This window comes from Homo sapiens, chromosome 4, assembly GCF_000001405.40.
Source record: "Homo sapiens chromosome 4, GRCh38.p14 Primary Assembly".
NCBI classification, from domain to species: Eukaryota; Metazoa; Chordata; class Mammalia; order Primates; family Hominidae; genus Homo; species Homo sapiens.
In genome coordinates this window covers 78,055,280-78,075,094 of record NC_000004.12, presented here as the reverse complement: position 1 = coordinate 78,075,094, position 19,815 = coordinate 78,055,280, and the positions used below count along the sequence as shown (strand labels likewise).

The following is a 19,815-nucleotide window of genomic DNA, read 5'->3' as shown; positions in this document are numbered from 1 at the left end:
ATTTAAAAGAGCAGCTAGGCATGTTTAACTCAGTTCTGTCTTCTTTCCTCTTCCAGGGAGCAAGCCTGTCAACCAAGAGCATACGAAACCGGAGTTCTTGCCTTATCAGCCCTTCTGCATGGGAAAGCTGCCTCAGCAAGGCTCTGTCTGTGAATGCCTAACTCTTCCCAATTCTGAGGTCAGAACCAGCAACCCCATTGGCTAAGAGAACTGAAGCTATATCCTCCAACTTAGCTTATCGGTTAAAAGATAAAAGGATGATATTTTGACTTCTGTATTTATTCTTTGTTTTATTTCTCAACTTGTTCAGAACTGAGGGAAGGAAGGTGCTATTTATGGGGTCCTTTCAAACACCCAACAATATTAGCAGTTCCACACATATCTCATTGGCCACAAGTCACACTCAGTCCTAAACCAATCCCTGGCAAAGGGATATAAATTTCCTGATTCGCTCACAACTAGGAAAGGGTGGGAAACTGCAACAAAATCAGGACTCTGCCAACACAGAAAAGGGAAAAAGGGACTACTGGCTAAGCAGGGTGTTCCTGGGTTCCAACTAATATCTTATTAATCTTGGTATTCTCCATAGATCCAATCACAGGGTCTAACACAGAATTTGATCAATAAATGTCTTTGGAATCCAGTTGGATCACTACTACTACACATATCTACAGCAAATATAAGAGGGAAAGGCTTCTTTTTAGCCAATAATTTCATATTTCTTCTGTTCCTGAATTCTCATCTCTTAGATCAAGTTTATTCTAGATTATAGGGAAACTCAATACAGTAAGAACACCAAAGAATGAGTGTCTATTTCTGTTAATAATTCCCTCCTGCTCACTATTACTGAACCATTTCAAGAATGGAAGGTACAAAGAGCAATGAAATCTGCTCTCTAATGCAGACACCCTCCCCTCCCTGATCCCACCCCCACCCATTCAATTTCCCTTTGGAGGAAAGAAATGACATAAATTTAATAAATATCCAATCTTGGGAGCTGTCAGAAAAGAACTCACAGGTCACGACCCAAACTCAAGAGCCTCCTGGGTACTAACAATAAACCATTTCTTCCTGTGAAAGCTTGTCCCTCTCCTTCTTCCTTTCATTTAGCTTATAAACTCTGGGAACCTAAGAAATCATTGCTAAAAGAACTTAGCTGGGACACCAGAAGCTATATGCCTCTTTTACATAAAACTGCTCAGTTATTTTTTAAAATTTTATTTTGTGCCAATTTTATGTTTAAGTGTCACAGAAACAAAATGTCATCCACATAAAATTTTCAAAGTCAACTTTTCTTCAGACATTTGTAACTGAAATTTCAGAAAAACATAAGCTGGCTTAACTCAATTGTCATTTGATATTTATATATTATCTTTCCCTTGGTAAGCAGAGAACTTCTAAAAGTAACTAAACTATAACATGATAATACCATAAGGTGTCATAAATTAGTGACAGTTCTATTATGGGGATTTATACATATATACACATGCATATATAAATGTATCACATAGAAAATAAACATATGTATGTACTTTGTAGTTATAAACAGAGAAATAGAATAAATAAAAATATCAAGTTGTAAGACAATTTGGTGTGAAAATGTCACAAACTTAAGAAAAAGTGAGGGAAGTGTATGGTGTGACCAGAAAATTGAGATATATGATAAAACGTAACATAGTTTGAGCAAATTAATATGGCTTCCAAGCTCAACTGCATCTTCTAAATTCAAAACAAAGCATAAGAAATGTGTTTGTTAACTTAAAACATCTGTTCCTACCACACAAATATGAATAAGAATAAAAATGCATATGGATTATTCATCAATAAAAGTACAAAATCTCTTGTATTATTCCTCTCATACAATTATTCTAAGAACATATAAATTCCCAAATAGGAAACCAGCACATCTAATTATGATGGACAATTTATAAAAACCCAGCAAGGACAAAAAAATTCTCAGAGACAGCTAGAGCCCAATTCTCACTACCTGACACTTAAAGGTACAAAGTTACTCCCTTTGAGGAACTAAATGGGGAGAAACCCTTCACTGCACACTCTAGTGCCAGGAGATTTTTTTCACCTTCTGTAAGGGCTTCTTTCCTTAGGCGGAAACACACAGCTCTAACCTTCTATCCACAGGTGAGAACCCAAATCAGAAAAGCCTGCCACTGCTAACTCATCCCGATTCTGTTTGTCTAGTCTCAACTTGAATATCTCTAGTTAAAGGAGCTCATTACCTTGCTAAATTTATGACAACACCTAGCACAGTAAGGATGTGTTGCAAAAAAAATAAGTTTTTATCACAAAATAAGTACATTTTAATAAAGAGTGGCATCCCCCATTTAAAAGCATATTACTCCGTATTTTAAAATAAAGACCAGAGGCATAAAAAATGATGAATTTTTGCTAAACTATAACTTAAAATGGTGATATCCTACAATATTCAATACAAGGGTATTAAGAAATTACCCAATACCTTTAGGGAAATTAAGGAATGGCTGATTGTATTGCTTCCCCGCTGAGTGCATCCTCAGGACACCAAGTATTCTCCCCACTGCTGGAGAAGTTCAAGATGTTTCAACAGCAGCCACTAGCCACCATTCACTAATTGTTTGTGGTGATTTCAAACACTGAATAGGGAAAGCTTCCAAATTTTCATTTCTCTTCTCCACAAAATCTCTTGAGCACGTTGATGAATACAAGGACAAAGCAGTTCTGAGACATTTTCATTTCTACAGGGCTATCTCTTGTGTGTTAACTGTTTCAAGTTTTAAAAAGTAACACTATAGCACACCAATTTTTAAAAAGACTCTAACATTGAAGAGCTCTAATGGTCTCCCTTAAACCTCCTTAGCCCTAATATACAAGGTCTACAGATTAGACCAGAAGTTCTCAAATCTTTTTCTGCTCTAATATAAATGATGGATAACACTCCCATGAGTTAAAAAATTTATAAAATTTTTAATGGAATATGTACAATTAACTGTAATTTTACTCCTTTTCTTTTATTCAAGAAAGCATTGATCCATAACAATTGCTTGGTTTAAAAAAAAAACCACGACAACAAAAAAGAAAACATATTTAGCAATATGGAGAGAGTAGTGTTGTAACTGTGTTGACTTCAAAACTGTTCAAATTATATAAACAAACAAAAACAGCAAACTTAGGTACTATAACAAACTTTGTATTACTTTTCTCACAACTGCTAAAAGTACTCCAGTAAGCTTCCACCCAGGGTGAGAACCATTCATGAGGCTGTATTTTAAGTACTAGAGTACGTTAAGAATTTTAAAACTCTAATGTTGCACTGTCCAATATAGTAGCCACTATCTATATGTGGCTACTCAAATTTAAACTTTAATTCATTGACATTAAGTGAAATTTAAAATTCAGTTCCTCAGTATCGTCAGCCACACTTCAAGTACTCAATAACCACATGTGGCTCGTAGCTACCACACTGGACAGCACAGCTATGGAACATTCCCATCATCACAGAAAGCTCTACTACACGATACTGGGCTAAGGAATCTTGGAGAAAAGCTAACCTAACTCTCTTAATTTACTAATTTAGAAACTGAGACCTCATTTCATTCAAGTGACTTACTCCAAGCTATACAGCTAGTAATTACAGGGCCAGAACCTGAACCAAGACCCTGGACTCTATAACTCACTCATTTCTACTCCGACATCTTGTTACCACCTGAATGATGTGAGTACGTGTTCCTTGCAGGGACAGTTCTGGGTTCTTTCACAAGTATGTTCTCAGTTAACTGTCACATCAAACCTAGGAGAAATATAATCCCAATTAAGTAGATAATGAAAGTGACACCTGGCTGTATAAAGTATTATATCTGAGACCACACAGCATGTATGTAGTGGTGCCAAGATTCAAACTCCAAAGCCTGGATTTTCCTGCAGTGTTATATATAGTCAACATTCCACATTTTTAAATTATCCTTGAAAAATATTCTTTCAAATTTGCTAAGAGTTAGTGCCTTGTGATTCACTTTGTCAGCATTTCTCAGCAAAAGTATCCCAAGTAGGAAAATCCCAACACTTAACACTTTTGATCCAGGGAAGAAGAGTCATTTATCCAACCTTGCCAGTCGTCACTGCTATAGAACAACAATAATAGCAGCCAACCTTTATTGAGCACTGTAAGTCACAGCACTGGACGAGTTGCTTCATGTTCATCTCCTTTAAGCTTCACAACAGTCCTGAGAAGTAAATAGTTCATCTCCATTTCACAGACAGAAAAATTGAAGTGAAGAGTCAAGTCATTGATCCCAGGAAGAACTTTCAAAAGGATATGTGTTTGCTTGTGGTGATGCAAAAGGAGAGTTTTTTCAATACTTGATATAGTTGGAAAAGAACAGAAGGTGTGTGAAAACTTTGAAATGAAAAATTAATTTTCCTCCTCACACTGGACATCACAGTTAAACCTATTACCTAGGTAGTTTCCCTCTGATGGATTCCTGATTTAACAGTCACGCTGTGTTCCACAAGGGCTGACTTTAGAGAAAGTCTTGTGAGCCCAGGGGTGCATGGGTATTATGGAGTAAGAAACACACCCCAAAATAGATTATTCAGTGTTTTTCAAGTTATTTTTAGTCCCTTCTGGTCATTTCTTACTCTAGGAATAAAAAGAAGAGAAAGTTACAGAAGATTGTTAAAGAAAAGAGAAGGGAGAGAGCTGAAATCAGTCCATAATTTAGAGATGGCTACACATGCTTGGGACTTAATCACCCAGGATGTCACTGCAAGTCCAAACAGCTGTCAAAAATTGGGGAAACACAACACAATACAAAGTGGGGGGAGGTATATATATATATATATATACACTTATATACATATATACACATATATAAACATATATAGTACATAATACACTGTACATTGTATGTTTTTAAGATGACATGCCTGTCTAAACATGTTTTGCATCACATAGTGAATCTGGTGCACGCCAGTGCAGGACAGCCTCAGTTAAATGGGAAGGGGTTAGCCAGGGACAGCTGGCTTTAGCAGGAGGTCAGGGACAGAGACTGGCAGAGACAACTGCATGGCAGTTGCGGCAGGGAGGGGGTGGGCATATGGGACCGAAGGTGGTGAAGTAAGCTAGTTGTGTTCAGAGACAACAAGTGGACTGACTTGGTTGTGAGAAATAGAATGCTTGATCAAATGACTTAAGAATAAGAACCAGGTTTGAACTCTCTTTTCCACTAGGACTTACTATGTAACTTTGGACAATTGACTACTTCCTGAGCCTCAACTTCCTTATCTGTAAAGTAAGTTAAAAAAAAAAAAAAAACTATTTCCTGGGTTTGTTGAGTATTAAATATATAGTAGGTGCTTAACAACTGGCCCTTCCTCTTGTTCTTCTTGGTTGCTAAGGAGAAATTGTGTTATGGCAGAAAAGCACATGCCATGCATTGCACCTGGGTGTCTTTCCCATATTATCGTCTTTGCAACAACCCTCAGGAGAGGCTTTCTTTGTCCTCATTTCACATCGGGGCAATAAGAGGTTCCAGAGATGATGTAACTTGCCCTATGTCACAGAGCTGGTTTGTAACAGAAGAGGAAGGGTCAAAACCAGGTGTGTCTGACCGCCAGGGCCATGACTGTTCCACTGTATCTGGCAGCTTCCTAAGCAATGAGTGAAGAGATTGAAAGGAATCAGTGAGAGGAATCCTCACAAGACAGGCTGAGAGTTAGCGTAATACTAGCAGCAAGTGCCTAAATCCATGCTCTCATTTGCTTGATATGCTTTATGAACTCTGGGTGAAGCTGAGGCTTTGCCATTTTCAACCAGAATAACCTACTTCTGGTTACTCACCTGGGAGATGAACAAACCTAAAGAATTTAACATCCCTGCCCCAGTTTCCTCATCCATAAAATGGACAGTCTGGACTAAGAGATTTCTCAAGTCACTTCTACCTCTAAAACAGTGAGCATGTGGGTAAAATTACAAAGTTTGGAACAGGGACACCAATCACTATTCTCAGAGCCAGCTCTTGAAAATGACGCCTCTTACACTAGAAGCCTTTGTCACCCAAAAAGTTGTATAATCAGAGAATCCTAGAATCATATAGTAATGTTCTTGAACCCTTCAATTCAAAATACATGAACATACATTCACTCTCCAATTTCACTGATGTAGACACAATGCTTTTCTTTAACGCTAGGGCATGTGGAGAGAGAGCAGCAGTGAATGATGTAGATAATAAACCAAGTCCACAATGCATCATCTACCATTTCCAGTTTCATTGTCCTTAAAATGGAAAGAGAACTTAAAGTGGTTACAAATAAACCCGAATGCAGAATCTCTCTAGATTTTGAAATATTTTCTCAATCTTGTACAGCTGTTTTTCCTACACTTAATTTGACAGAAATTTTTTAGTGACTCACCCCTATGGAGTCTTTTTAAAGTATTTAATATAGTTTCCCTGGAAACAAGCACACTCTCATTTCAGCAGTTTAATTAGATGATAAGTCCAGTGTTGCCATTCCTCCTCTCTGGCACCTCCAATGGCTCATCCACCTTCCTGAAAGGACAAGCTAAAGTCTGCACAAGGCTCACCATGCTCTGACCCCTGCCATCCTCCCTGACCTATCTCTTGCCATCCTCCATGCACTGCCTCAAATGCCCATAGGAGCTCTTGCTTCAGACTTTACATTTCTGCTCCCTATCTCTGGAATTCTCTCCCCTTGGGTATCCACCAGGCTAGCTCCTTATAATTACCTCTTTCAGTATGTCTTTGATCAAATGTCACCTTCTCAGTGAAGCCTTCCCTATCACCCTATCTAAAGTAGCCACCTTCATCCCCTATTGAGCCTTTTCTATCCGTTCCACCTCCACAATATTTTTCCCCATAGCCCACCTATCTGACATTCTATATATTTTACTTATTAGAATTCAAGCTCTATGAAGGCAGGCATTTTCATCTGTTTGTTCACAGATGCATTCCAGTGCATAGAATAGCAGGTCTCTAATTGTCATTCAATAAATATTTGTTTAATAATTTTATTATTGTAATAAATATATTGTCTCTCAGACTGAATTGCATAACTACAATAACAAGTATCTCAGGCTTGAAGAGGTTCAGAAACAAATGTAGCAGGCCAGGCTCAGTGGCTTATGCCTGTAATCCCAGCACTTTGAGATCAGGAATTCAAGACCAGCCTGGCCAACATGCCAAAACCCCGTCTCTACTAAAAATACAAAAAAAAAAAAAAATTGGCTGGGTGTGGTGGTGTGCAGCTGTAGTCCCATCTACTTGGGAGGCTGAAGCAGGAGAATCACTTGAACCCTAGAGGCAGAGGTTGCAGTGAGCCAAGATCCCTGCACTCCAGCCTGGGTGACAGAGCGAGACCCTATCTTACAAATAATAATAATAATAATAATAATAATAATAATAATAATAAAAGAAAGAAAAAAAAAGAAAAAGAAACAAATGTAGCAGAGCCTTGGTAAGCAAAGAAGTCACCTGGAAGAATGAGGAGCGTGCTGGTGTGGGAGGGTGCAGCCCACTAATCTTGAGCAGCCATGAGCCCTGGGATCAGCTAGGGCATGGTACAGAGGGAAGCAAGGTCATCCAATAAATTCAAGTTGGCTGGGCTGTTTCTCCTTTTAACTTGATCAAACTGACCTCTCCAATTACTTGATCCTTTCATATTCAAATGTACAATAACACATAGCAAAGTTAAATATAGAAGATGGTCTAGCCACTTTTTTTCACATATAGGCAGAACAACAGAAGAAGACAGGATGTCTTGTTCTGGTCCACCACTAATGGTGAATTACCTCTAGCAAATCTCTTCATCTCTCTCTCTCATCTTTTCCATTAAAAGGGGAAAGAGTATGGAATGATACATGGCCTGCCTATTTCATTGGTCTATTATAAGTATCAGACATATGAATACTTATGAAAATATATGGAAAAGTTATGAAGTACTCTACACAATAAATAATTCTCTTTTATTAGCACGGATAACTGACTTGTCTAAATATCTACTGTAGCTCCCCAAAAGTGATAATATATTTTAGAGCAAATGATTCCTAAAATATATTAAAGAATAAACAGGGCAGGATATGGAATGACAAATACAATAAAAATGGCTTTTTCCTAATTTTTGATAGAAAAATATTTAAAAAATAAACTTCTCCAGCAGTAACTACAGTATATAAAGTGCAGATTCAAGGATATTATGGTGAATATCTACAGTTATCTAGACTCTAAGATACTTCAGATATTCCTCAGCTATTTCAATACCACAAGGATAATCCAGGATGACTTATCAATATCACACATGTCAATAGCAGGTTGTGATGTAAATGAGCAAATTCTTTCCAACCATCTCAGTTCAGTTTTATTATAGCATTTATTAAACCAAAATAAAAACATGGTGAAGAATGATTTGTCACACCATTTATTAGAGTTGATGGAGTGTAGACAGTCTTTTCAATAAGGCTTTAACACACTGTTATGCACCATAGTGCATTAGTAATGAAAAGAAATGCATGAGACTTACATCAGCCTTTCCCCCAAGTCATTCTGACATTAAATTCAAAATCAATTTTACCCTATATGGCAAGAGTTCAGAAATAAATGTTAATTTCTTTGCTGTTCACCAAAACTTAAGTTTATAATTCAAAGTAACAACAGAAATCCTTCCTATTCTACTTAATTTAATAATCATACTTTTTTTGGAGAAGGGTTCAAAGTGGGAAGCAAATGCAACCAGAAGTTAAAAAATTGTGTTTCAGTTTGTATCTGACAAAAGGATGGGATCTAATTTTCTCTCTGATTAAAAGAACACAAAGAACAGCCACAGAATGTAAATCGTGTGTTGAGTGTTTGAATTTCTCTTCCAATACCTGAGTATCTGAATAGAACTAATTCACTCTGGAAAAGGTATTAAATAATTGAGCATCATTGTGCCCGAATGAGGGCTAATTGTCAAACGTTGAAGAAAAATAAACATATTCTACAATGATAGGGTCAACTCACTCACTCAGGAACTTCAATCAAGCATTTTACATTCAAATGACAGAAACCAAGTATGTAAAGAATGACCTACCGCCAACAAGGAATCCTGATAGACACAAGCACCTGTGGGGAAAAACAAAACAAGAATTAAAAGGGATGCATAATAAACCAATAGGCACTGCCCCAGCAAGCTTGCTGCTAAAACTGCATCTATATGCATCATAACCAGGAAAATGAGCTTCTTCCAAAATCTTAAAAGCTTCAGCATTCTTCCCCTGGGGAAATAACCCCATACACCAAAACAACATTCCTTGGACACACATGAGGAAAAGCATCATTAAAACTTATGACTTGAATTTTAAGATAAATGTGTTTATAACGACATGCTATAAATACAGTAAATATTTTTCTTGGTGATAAGTCAGCAAAGCCTCCATAATCCAGTCCCATTTACTTATCCAGGCTTCCCTGCCACTGTTTGCTTACACTAAGCCTCCAGTCCAACCCAAGAGGCCAACTTAGAATCCTGTAATATATTTACATGTCTCAATGCCTTTGCTCATTTTCATTTTCTACAGGAGATGTACTTTGTCTAGTCAAGCTCTTTGAACTTGATCCCATCTCCTTTGTGAAACTTCTGCCCACCAGATTATGCTCCTCTGAGCTCCTAGCATTTTGTGCCTACATCCTCCATTTGTGAATTTATTCTTGTGTATTTCCTTTCTAAGGATGTTGAAATGTTGTATTTACCCCACTACATTATATATATGTGTGTGTGTACTACATATAGAGAGAATATATACACTATATATACCATTACATATATACTATTACATATATAGTATATACATATATATACACATGTATACCCACTATATACTATATACCATATATAGTACATATATAGTATATACACATATATACACATATATATACATATATACCCACTATATACTATATATAGTATATATATAATATATAGTATAAATAGCATATGTAGTATTTAGTGTGTGTGTGTGTATGTATATATATATATATATATATATATACACTATAAAACTGAAATCTTAACTTAAAAAAAATATAGACACATTCCCAACCAATTTTTGAGCTGCACAACAGGTCTTGATTTAACTTAGAAAGAGATGGGCAGTGTGCTGTCACCTACTCTCTCAGAAACTGAGTCTGCAAAACACATTTGAACAGTATATACACACCAAGGTGAAGCATATCTTAACAATGCTCCACACAGTTGGTTTCTAAAGAGAGAAGGACATTATTTTACCACAGTGCTTACCTCTAATGGATCATTTATGAAGTCCCAATAATATTAACTTCTCAGGAAAGAATTGGTCTACCTTCTCCTCCAGTAATGGAATTAAGAACAATCTTTAAAAAAACTGAGATGACTATTTACACTTAGGTTTGAATCAAAGATCTCTGTGGGCAAATTTATTGAAATAATTTTTATGTCCCTGATATTCTTTTTTTTTTTCTTGGTATACAACAATTTTATTGGTGTTTTAATATAATTCACCCAGAATATGAAGGCATCACATTAGCTAAGTACAAGGCATATGTATAAGCAAAAATTATAAATTTATGACACCCTTGTGCCTTTCTCCTAATGACATTTCCAACTTTTAATGGTTTGTATTTCTTCCTCTGCAGACATAGGATAATTAATATAAATATGTCATTTTTGAGTTTATATTTTACACAAACTTATTATTTTACTTTAAAATAGTTTCTAGCCATGGCATTAATATTTATTAAAATTTCTGTACATATGAAAAAAGGAATTTATTTCTATACATATGAAAGAAAGGAATAGGGAGTGTCTATAAATGAATGATTTTATAGACACTCCCTATTTTTTTATTTTATTTATTTATTTATTTTTATTATTATTCTTTAAGTTCTAATAAGAATAACTTGAGATAAAACCTTGAAGGAAAATTCTTCTTAATTGACTACTTTTTCCTTAAGAAATCTTGTTCCAAGACTTAGTAGTTCAGTCTATGGTATGTTATAAGAAAGGAAATATATATATGTGTACATATGTATGTGTGTGATGTGTGTACTAAAATAATTCTATATATCTCAAATAAATACATATGAACACAATTCACTTTCTAAATTACTTATATGGACATATTTAATTATTTCTGGTGTTTAGAAAATTTAGAATAAAGATCATCATCACTTAGGTACAATTTAACAAAATTTAAACTTTAGATTAAACAAAACTTAACTTTTAGAAAAAACACAAACAAAATTTAATCTTTAAAATAAGACTATCCTCAAATAATTTTATTGCTCTCCACAGCATTACCTTCCAAAGTCAATTTCTTTTCAAAGCTCCAAAGGAAATCAAGCACCTTAAGAAGTATCTGAGTACCCATATCAAAACCTATTTTTGGAAGTTTAGATAGCCATGATAAACTCACTGCAGTATGAAAAAAATAAAGTAGCACTGAGTGTGGCACCACATCTATACCTGGGCAAGCCATGCATCTGCTGGAGACTCAAGCCAAAATGGTGTAGAGCTGCTGAAAAATTATATCATTAGGAAAAGGAATTAATTCAATTTGGGTTGCTTTGTATTGTACAATTCCAAAAGAAATAAGCTTTGCCCTCTGAGAGCTTTCCTAAAACAGAACAGTTCTACCTGGAAGGCAGCTGCATGAATGAGCCTCCATTAACACAGCTTCCAAAACCTCATTTCTACTCTCTTGAGAAAAAAAGCATTCCAGTGTGATGCCCAGTTCTATCAAACATTTATCATCACCCAATACCAGATGCAGCATCCAAAGGAAGCATATTTCTCTCACACACCCACCAGCAGATGAAGTTGAGGGGTTTGTTGACATGGGTACTGGGTGTAGCTTCTGGTTGAAAGCCAGAGTGGAGGTCTTTTCACTAATCCGTCAGTTCACATAATATGGAAAACAAAATTCATCTCTCGACTCATTATTTTTTTTTCTTCAGGAGTACAAGAATGATTGCAGGTCTATTTGACGTTTATATTTATGGCAGGGAACTTTAAAGAAAATTCCAGCTCAAGGTGAATTCTGTGAGAGAGTGCTGATCTAGAAGAAGAAATGAGCCTCCCTCAAAGGAAAACTGAGGAAAAACCGGAGACAACAGGAGTAGTTCTCTAACTATGAACAATGCCAATTTCAAGGCACAGAATGCAGCTGAGATGCCAGGTAATTTAAGTTCTAACACCTCACAACCTGTGAGAAAGAGCATAAAGTTTTGCAGGGTGAAGTAATTTTATAGTGTCAAGAAGGAAGCCCAGATCCTGAGACCTGAGCTGCTCTTTTACTGTGTGGCTGGCTCATTTCTTGCAGGTCACACAGAAAAAACGTTACTGCATAAAATTTAAACAAGTAAATGTCTGTTTTTAATCCCTTTTGCACATTATAATATACGCCTTTATGAGATGACTGTATAAAATCTAGTATTTTTGGAGAAATTTTGAGATATAATTTGCATATATTCTGAAACCGTTGGTAAACTGAGTAAATTAGAGAAGTTAAATCCAAGCACCACAAAATGTCAGACCCATTAGTTCAAAGAAATAGTGGCAGATACAACCATTAAGATACAAAAAGATTTGGAGAGCATGGTACCACAAGAACATGACTCATTAGGAACAAGCAGCCACAAGTTGGCATTTAAATGTTCAGGCTTTATGTTGTGTTATAATTCAGCATATGGCTGTGTGCACTGTGGAATACTTAAAATAGAATCATTTTCTGAACTGACAGGACAGCTCATGTCCTGATTATTGTCAACTAGGATTTAGATCAATTAATAGAGTAGTTAAAATGAAAGTGGGCCAACTGTTTTGGAACTACGGTAAGATTTGGCATGAGGCTCCAACTTTGACATGTGGTAGTCCCCTCCCCTACTCTGAGCCATGTGTTAAAGAATATTTTATGACTACTTGTGTGAGTACAGTTGGGTGACATTGCCACCCAAGTCCATAACAGTGAATACGGATGGCTGGGTCCTTACTAAAGGATGTACACTATATAAGGAGAGTAATGCCCAGAATCCAATCTTCAGAGGGCAATGGAAATATAATTGATGAAAATAAGAGTCCACAACAACACCTCTTTATTTCCATTGCCAGGTAATTACAAAAGCCAAAGGATGCAAAGTTACAACCATCATCTAACGTTTCCATACTGAGAAACCCACCAAGGACCAAATGTTCCCATATCCCTACTGCTATTCAACTGACATTAATGATTTCTAGATATGCAAACTCCTTGAGCGCAGGAGGTTTTTTTGGCTTTGGTTTTGATGTCTGTACCCACCTACTGGACATAACCTGACACAGAACCTCTCAATAAAGGCTTGCAGAATAAAAGAATTAGGTTACTTTTTTCCAGCCAAGTTCTTCTCTTCCCAACATTGAGTTATTGAGTTTCAAGCATAGAGTCTCTCAGTGAAACAACTCTGCAGCCCAGAGTGCAACTACCCTAACTCACCCATAAATAAAACATATTGTCTATCAAATGAGCCTCTTCAATGTAACCTGTTAAATAGCATTTATAGGAAAAACCCGGGATTCAGCGTTTGTGGGAATGGCTAAAATCACATGGAGAGTGATGGGACACAGACTAAAGCTCAATTCTCTTAACCTCCAATTCAATGATGTTTCCCTATCCCAAGGCAACTGTCTTATCTACTGTAACTTCACAGGACTTCCATATGTCAACAGAACTCAAGATATTTCTCCAGAAAAAGCCATGGTAGAGTTTCTGTGATTCAGAAAGCAGCCATGTTAGAAGCTTCTTTGTGACTTCTTGATTTTATTAAGTTCTCAAGTCATAGCATTAATACTTTACCAGTTTAGCAATATAAGGCCATATAAAATAACACTGCCAATAATTTGCTTGTAAAAATTTATTTTTCTTTTGATATTTCTTTTGATAAAATTTAGAGGCCAGGCACAGTGGCTCACACCTGTAATCCTAGCACTTTAAAAGGCCAAGGCAGGCAGTTCACTTGAGGTCAGCAGTTCAAGACCAGCCTGGCCAACATGGTGAAACTCTGTCTCTACTAAAAATGTGAAAATTGGCTGGGCATGGTGGCGCACATCTGTAATCCCAGCTACTCAGGAGGGTGAGACATGAGAATCGCTTGAGGCCAGGGGGCAGAGGCAGCAATGAGCTGAGATTGCACCACTGCACTCTAGCCTGGGTGATAGAGCAAGACTGTGCCTCAAAAAAAAAATAATAAAAATAATAAAATTTAGAACCAGAAAATTGCAATTGACCACTAATAATGCAGCAAATACTGATCTCTTTTTCTTCTATGTTTGATGATTAGCCAAAGTATCTTAGAGCTATCACGTAATGTACCTCATTTAGTAAATGACAGAACTATAGCGCAAAGAGGTTAGATGGTTCATTCAAGGTTAGTGAGCTAATCAGAGGCCAGTCCACCAGTTAAGCTTAATTCAAAATAATATAATTTGGCAATACTGTTCATCTGACCAATTTTTTGAGCACTTAGTGTATACTAGGAGCTGAACTGAAGATATCAGAATTAATAGGAGCCATCCTAACCCCTCAATAAGCACACAGCTAAGTGAGGAAGACCAAACCCATACCAACCACAATTGTTCTCTCTGTGCACTGAGAAGAAAACGACAAATTCTGCCATAAGCTGGTCAGCAAAGGTGTCACAAGGTACATCCCATCAAAAGAAGTATACATGTGAATGTCTCTTTTCTATTTTTAAAAATTATTCTCTAGGCTGATAATAAAAACTTGAGGAGATTTCTAAGATCCTTGAGGTTTCCAACCTTGATCTCAATGCTCTTATTTTTTAAAGAAAAAGAAAACCTTGAGAGGACCAAACCAGAGGTCTCATCAGATGACAAATGTTTTTTTGTCTGTGGGAGTGATATCACTTAATTAAACTAATTAAATGAGATAAAGTATGTAAAGTGCTTAGCAAAGAGCCAGGCAAACAATACCTGCTCAATAAATGGCCATGTTCATTCATTCATTCATTCATTATTAGATAAGCACCATTATGACGTGGGTGGAAACTCAGACATCTATCAATTTATCAATCCAATTTGTGAAACAGCTATAGAATGCTCTGACAGTAAAGTCAAACAATAAGAAGCAAAGTTTCCAAAGACTCTTTGGAGTAATATCCACACCCTCTCTCCGCCCCCGCCCCCGCCCCCCGTCTCTACCCCCAGCTTTCTGTGCTTCACATCCCCCCATCCCCACCTCCCAGTCTAGATTCCGCACTTCTTAAACTTGGCCCACTGGATCAAGCAATCTGCCAAAGAGCGCACCCTGCAGGCTCTTAATAATAATGCCTTTTGTTGATTTCAGAGTTTTGGTTCCGACAAGCTGCACCATTCCAACTGCCCCCTGGTGAGCTATCCGGGAGTGATAGCACGTTTCCTGCGTTGCTGGGATAGGACTCTAAATTTTAAAAACTGCCACCAAGTGAAATTAATTTTTCTAAGTACCAAGTTCAGGTTTGGGTGGCCTGGGGTGACTCTCTCATCTGGTTTATTGTTATAATCAAGCCCTACAAGCTTTTTTTTTTTTTTTCCAAAGTACGCGCCCACACGCACATAAACAATAAAGTTATATTTCTACAGGACTTGCACTGTTGGGAGAAGGCTGCACAGGCCCCAGATGTGCCTTTCGCGGAGATTATACACACTTGACACACATCCCGGAAGAGTGCAGAAGGCAGCACCTGGACCCACGGGAAAGTCCCCCACCCTTGTGCGTGGATTCCCAAGGCCTTTCTCTTGGGAAGCCAGCAAAGAAAAGGCAGCTGCTCCAGTGACTGGAGGTCGACCCGAGGCAGAGCTTTGTCCTCCCCGGGCCTCCCGCAGCCCCCAGTCCTGCGCCAGAGCTCGACTCCCGGGAGCCGCCCCGCGCCCCTTCCTAGGCACCAGGGCGGAGAAGGCGGCCCGCCCTGCGCCCGCCGCCGCCGCCCAGCCGCGGCTCTGGTTTGCGGCTGGGCAGGTGAACTCTTCTTCCCGCAGCTGGATGAATAATGAATGGAGCCGGGAGGGGAAGCCGAGAGCCAGGCGCTGTGGATTAAGCCGTCTTCCTCCCAGCCCGCCGGCTCCCTTCCCCCTCCCTAAGCACTGGCGGGGCGACTTCCCTGGCTCCTCGGAGCAGGAGGGAGCTCACAGCGCCTCGCGTCCCCAGGCCCGGCATCCCATGACCCCAAACTCTTGATTTACTTATTGACTCATTTATTTGGCTGAGCCCGGATTGCATTTGATATCATGGCGACAACTAGTCTCACGGCTTCCTTTTCTCTCCTGCGGCTCCGGGGTTTTACAGGTAGCTTGGAGCCTCGGAGGAAAACCAGGAGGCGGAGGGTGAAGTAAAAGAATGAACCTAAACTCTTATTAACCACTTTTGTTCTGGGAAGCAGGCTGGTTCGTGCTTCTCCGTACTGGAGAGATTTCTTTCAGTGCAACTGAACTGCCCACGACCAGAACACGCTCCAACCAGTTAGTTATAAAATCCTAACTGGACTTTAGGGGGAGACTAACTGAGGTAAGGAGGGCGGGAGAGCGATGGGGCTTTAAGATGAAAGACTGTATGTTTCTTAGGAACAGAAGTATTTTTAAACAGGTAAGAGCAATTGTTCGCTCCTCACCTGTGCTCCATGCAGTTGCTTTCCCTTCGGGGAAAGGTAGGTGGTGGAAAGAAAAAGGATCAGTTTCAGAGATGTCACCTCCATCGGCCACCCACCCACCCAAAAGCACTTAGGGCAGAGAGGGAGGCCGTTTCGGGGGTGTAATCCGAATACAAAACAATCAGGAGTAGGAATCTTATCAGAAAAAGCCTATTCCAGTTTCACTTCCACCTCACCCTTCCCAGAAAAACTTCCACCTCACCGAAATACCATAAAACCTGCTGAGATTTTTAAACTGCACGATCACTCACACATACACACACACACGCACACGCACACACACACACACACGCGGCACCGCTCTCTCACCTTCGGAATGATGAGGCAATACTGCAAATTCCGCCAACGCTAGGGCCAGCCCGAGCCACACTTTGAGGACACCCATCGCCGCCTCGGCACCCACGATGGAGGAGCCCAGCCTTCAGCATCCAAGAAGCGGCTCCGCCAAAACGCTGGCTCCGGCGCTTGGAACCCGGGCGCACTGAAGGTGGGGGACCGCGGGCCTTTACCTCCGGGAAAAAGAGATGGACGGGCGGAGAGCGACACTCATCAGCCCGGAGGCGCCGGAGCGGGCTGGGGTTCAATTCACTCGCTGCTCAGGCAGAGAGCGCGCCGAGTTCCCCCGCAAGGCAGGACGCCAACGTGAGCTTTGGGAGAATAAGAGGAGGCAGAGCACAGTTCTCCGCGTCAAAATCTCGCCGGAAAGTTGCTGGTCACTGGCCGATGGGATCTTCCAGCATTTCCCTCGGGCTAGACCCTTCCGATCCCGGGTCCCCGACAGTGGAAATCCTGGCTCTGGTTTGTCCGAAGCAGCTTTTTAAAGTTCGCTTGGCACCATACGTCGGCGTTGCGTCGGCACCGCGGGTCGCCGGGAGCCCCGAAAGACCCACCCACACCCACTCCTTGGTCGAGCCACCCGGCTCGGCAGACCTCATCTGCCGGGGTCCGCTCGCTGGAAACTGTGCAGCGCTGAGGGCAGCTCCGGGGACTCGCCCGCCCTGCAGCCGCACCGCACCACACCGCCTCAGGCTGCGCTCCCTGAAGCAGACTGTTCGGAAGCTTCAGAGGAAAGACTGGGGGGCGCTGCTGCTACTTTCTCGTCCCCGCCCCTCGCCTGGGTGAGGAGGGCTGCGGGGACGCGGCTTGCTGCACACCAACACCCACCTCCGCGCTGAACACCCCGGAGGAGGTCTGCAGGGTAGAGGTGCAATGATTACGGGAGTGGAAGAAGAGCCATAATTTTAATTGCACGGAGGAAAAAGCTAGCGAGGCTGGAAAAGACCCCCAAACTCAAGGCCACTCTGGCGAGAGAGCCTGGAAACGCCCAAAATACGCCGGGTCTGGACCCCGTGTTTAAAGGACACACGTTCAGCCTTCCTCTAGTCTCCCTTGCCTCCTTCCTCTCTGCTTTGCTCGGTGTGAAAATGGACCCAGAGACTCGGAGCTTTGGCGAAATTCCAGAGAGTCACGTGGGGAAAGGGAGAAGCGAGGAGGGAGGTGAGGGGAGGCCGGGAGAGCAACCTGATCCCTTTATTCATTCTGCTGGAGTTCAGATTGGCTTTGTCTGGGGAGGAATCAAAAGTGCTCATACCGGGGACGGAGGGGGTGGAGATAGGTTGCACAGTTCTTGCTCAGGCACACCGGAAGGCAGATGAACCGTGTCCACATCCCTTGTTAGGGGAGGAACCGATTCGGCGGGCTGGGGGAGCGTGTGCCCACATCAAAGGCCCTGGGGCTACCTCCCACCCCCACAGCCCGCCACTCCTGCTGAACTAAGTGCGTCCGGGGGACCTGATTGATCCTTCTTCCTCGCTCTGGGACCCTCAGGCTGTTGCATCCTGGCTTTTACCAGCAGCCCGGGAAGATCTTGGTGTGTGTGTCCTAGGCGGAGCCTGAGAGCAAATGCACCTTTCCCTTTCCCTAGGAGACTCTGTCAGTGGAACACAACGCGGTCTGGGAGCTGTGGGTCCAGCTGCGCCCCCAGATGCCAATGGCTGGGAAAGTAACATCAGGACACGGCCGACTGGGGCGCGCACTTGAAGAGCAGAGGCCTTGATTCCCCGCCAGGACTGACTGACGGCAGCTATTTTTATAGGACCGAATAAAAATAGCTGGTCCACGTTTAATCGTTTTATAAGGGAACAGTTGCATCAGAGAGATGCTGACTGGGTTCTGATTGGCCCAGAGAAGAAACGTCTCGGGTCCCTCAATTGAGTCGGGATGGGCGAAACTGTTGGAGGGGAAGCAGTTGCATGAGCTGTGCTGGCGGGGGTCCCACTTGTTTCCAGTCTTCACGAACACCATGACGCGGGCCCACGTTCTAACGTGCACTGACGCCACTTGGAACAATTCACTTTTCCGAATAACTGGAATAACTTGAAACTGGCAGGTCCCTGTCAGTGTTACTATTCAGCCAGAACAAAGGAGAACCTCTGACAACCTGGCTCTGAATCTTAAGTATTTGGAGGACCCAGGGTTTGCACATTTCGCCCTCAGTCTCTCTGTTGGGCTGTGGTCATTCTAGGGACAGAGGTTGTATCATCTTTGTATAATTGAAGCACATAGTAGGTGCTCTTTAAACATTTGTTGAAATAATGGATTAAGTGCCTGAGAGCAGCGGCCATATCAAGGGGAGCTGCGGGCCTTAACCTCCTCCCAAAAAAAGACCCCTCCCTTTTTATTTAGAAAGTAGGGCCTGTGCGGTGGCTCACGCCTGTAATCCCAGCACTTTGGGAGGCCAAGGCAGGCAGATCACGACGTCAGGAGTTCGAGACCAGCCTGGCCAACATGGTGAAACCCCATTTCCACTAAAAATACAAAAATTAGCCACGTGTGGTGGCACATGCCTTTAATCCCAGGTACTCTGAAGGCTGAGGCACGAGAATCACTTGAACCCGGGAGGCAGAGGTTGCAGTGAGCAGAGATCTCACCACTGCACTCCAGCCTGGGTGACACAGCGAGACTCTGTCTCAAAAATAAAGGTCGGGCGGGGCGGGGGGGTGGAGGACATCTTCTCAATCCATGTAAAGTGATGTGCAAATTCAAACTCAGCTTCCAACACACTCTGACAACCAGACGGTCACCCTTAAACCCCCTCCTAATTTTGCAGCTGCTA

The 19,815-nt window shown here is 40.9% G+C and overlaps 1 protein-coding gene and 1 long non-coding RNA gene across 3 annotated transcripts in view, besides 1 other annotated feature; both read right to left on the bottom strand.

The window, feature by feature from the left end:
• The window catches only part of FRAS1 (Fraser extracellular matrix complex subunit 1), a 486,947-nt gene extending 469,175 nt beyond the window's left edge, over window positions 1-17,772 (bottom strand). For both annotated transcript variants that reach the window (NM_025074.7, NM_001166133.2), the window contains exons 1-2: window positions 17,010-17,772; window positions 9,079-9,110 (exon numbers count right to left, since the gene is read on the bottom strand). In NM_025074.7, the coding sequence (NP_079350.5) occupies window positions 9,079-9,110; window positions 17,010-17,085 (108 nt within the window). In that variant the 5' untranslated portion in view covers window positions 17,086-17,772. The remainder of the gene's footprint in view (window positions 1-9,078; window positions 9,111-17,009) is intronic.
• Window positions 1,203-7,189, bottom strand: LOC107986293 (uncharacterized). The gene is made up of 2 exons (XR_001741746.1): window positions 6,406-7,189; window positions 1,203-4,633 (listed from the first exon to the last, which is right to left on the bottom strand). It is a non-coding gene; the product is annotated as an uncharacterized LOC107986293 (long non-coding RNA).
• Window positions 18,215-19,186: an enhancer, noted in NCBI's record as "H3K27ac-H3K4me1 hESC enhancer chr4:78977063-78978034 (GRCh37/hg19 assembly coordinates)". NCBI's record gives its function as "activates a minimal SCP1, AML or CMV promoter by ChIP-STARR-seq in primed H9 embryonic stem cells {active_cell/tissue: H9 hESC(primed)}" and the evidence as "EXISTENCE:reporter gene assay evidence [ECO:0000049][PMID:30033119]".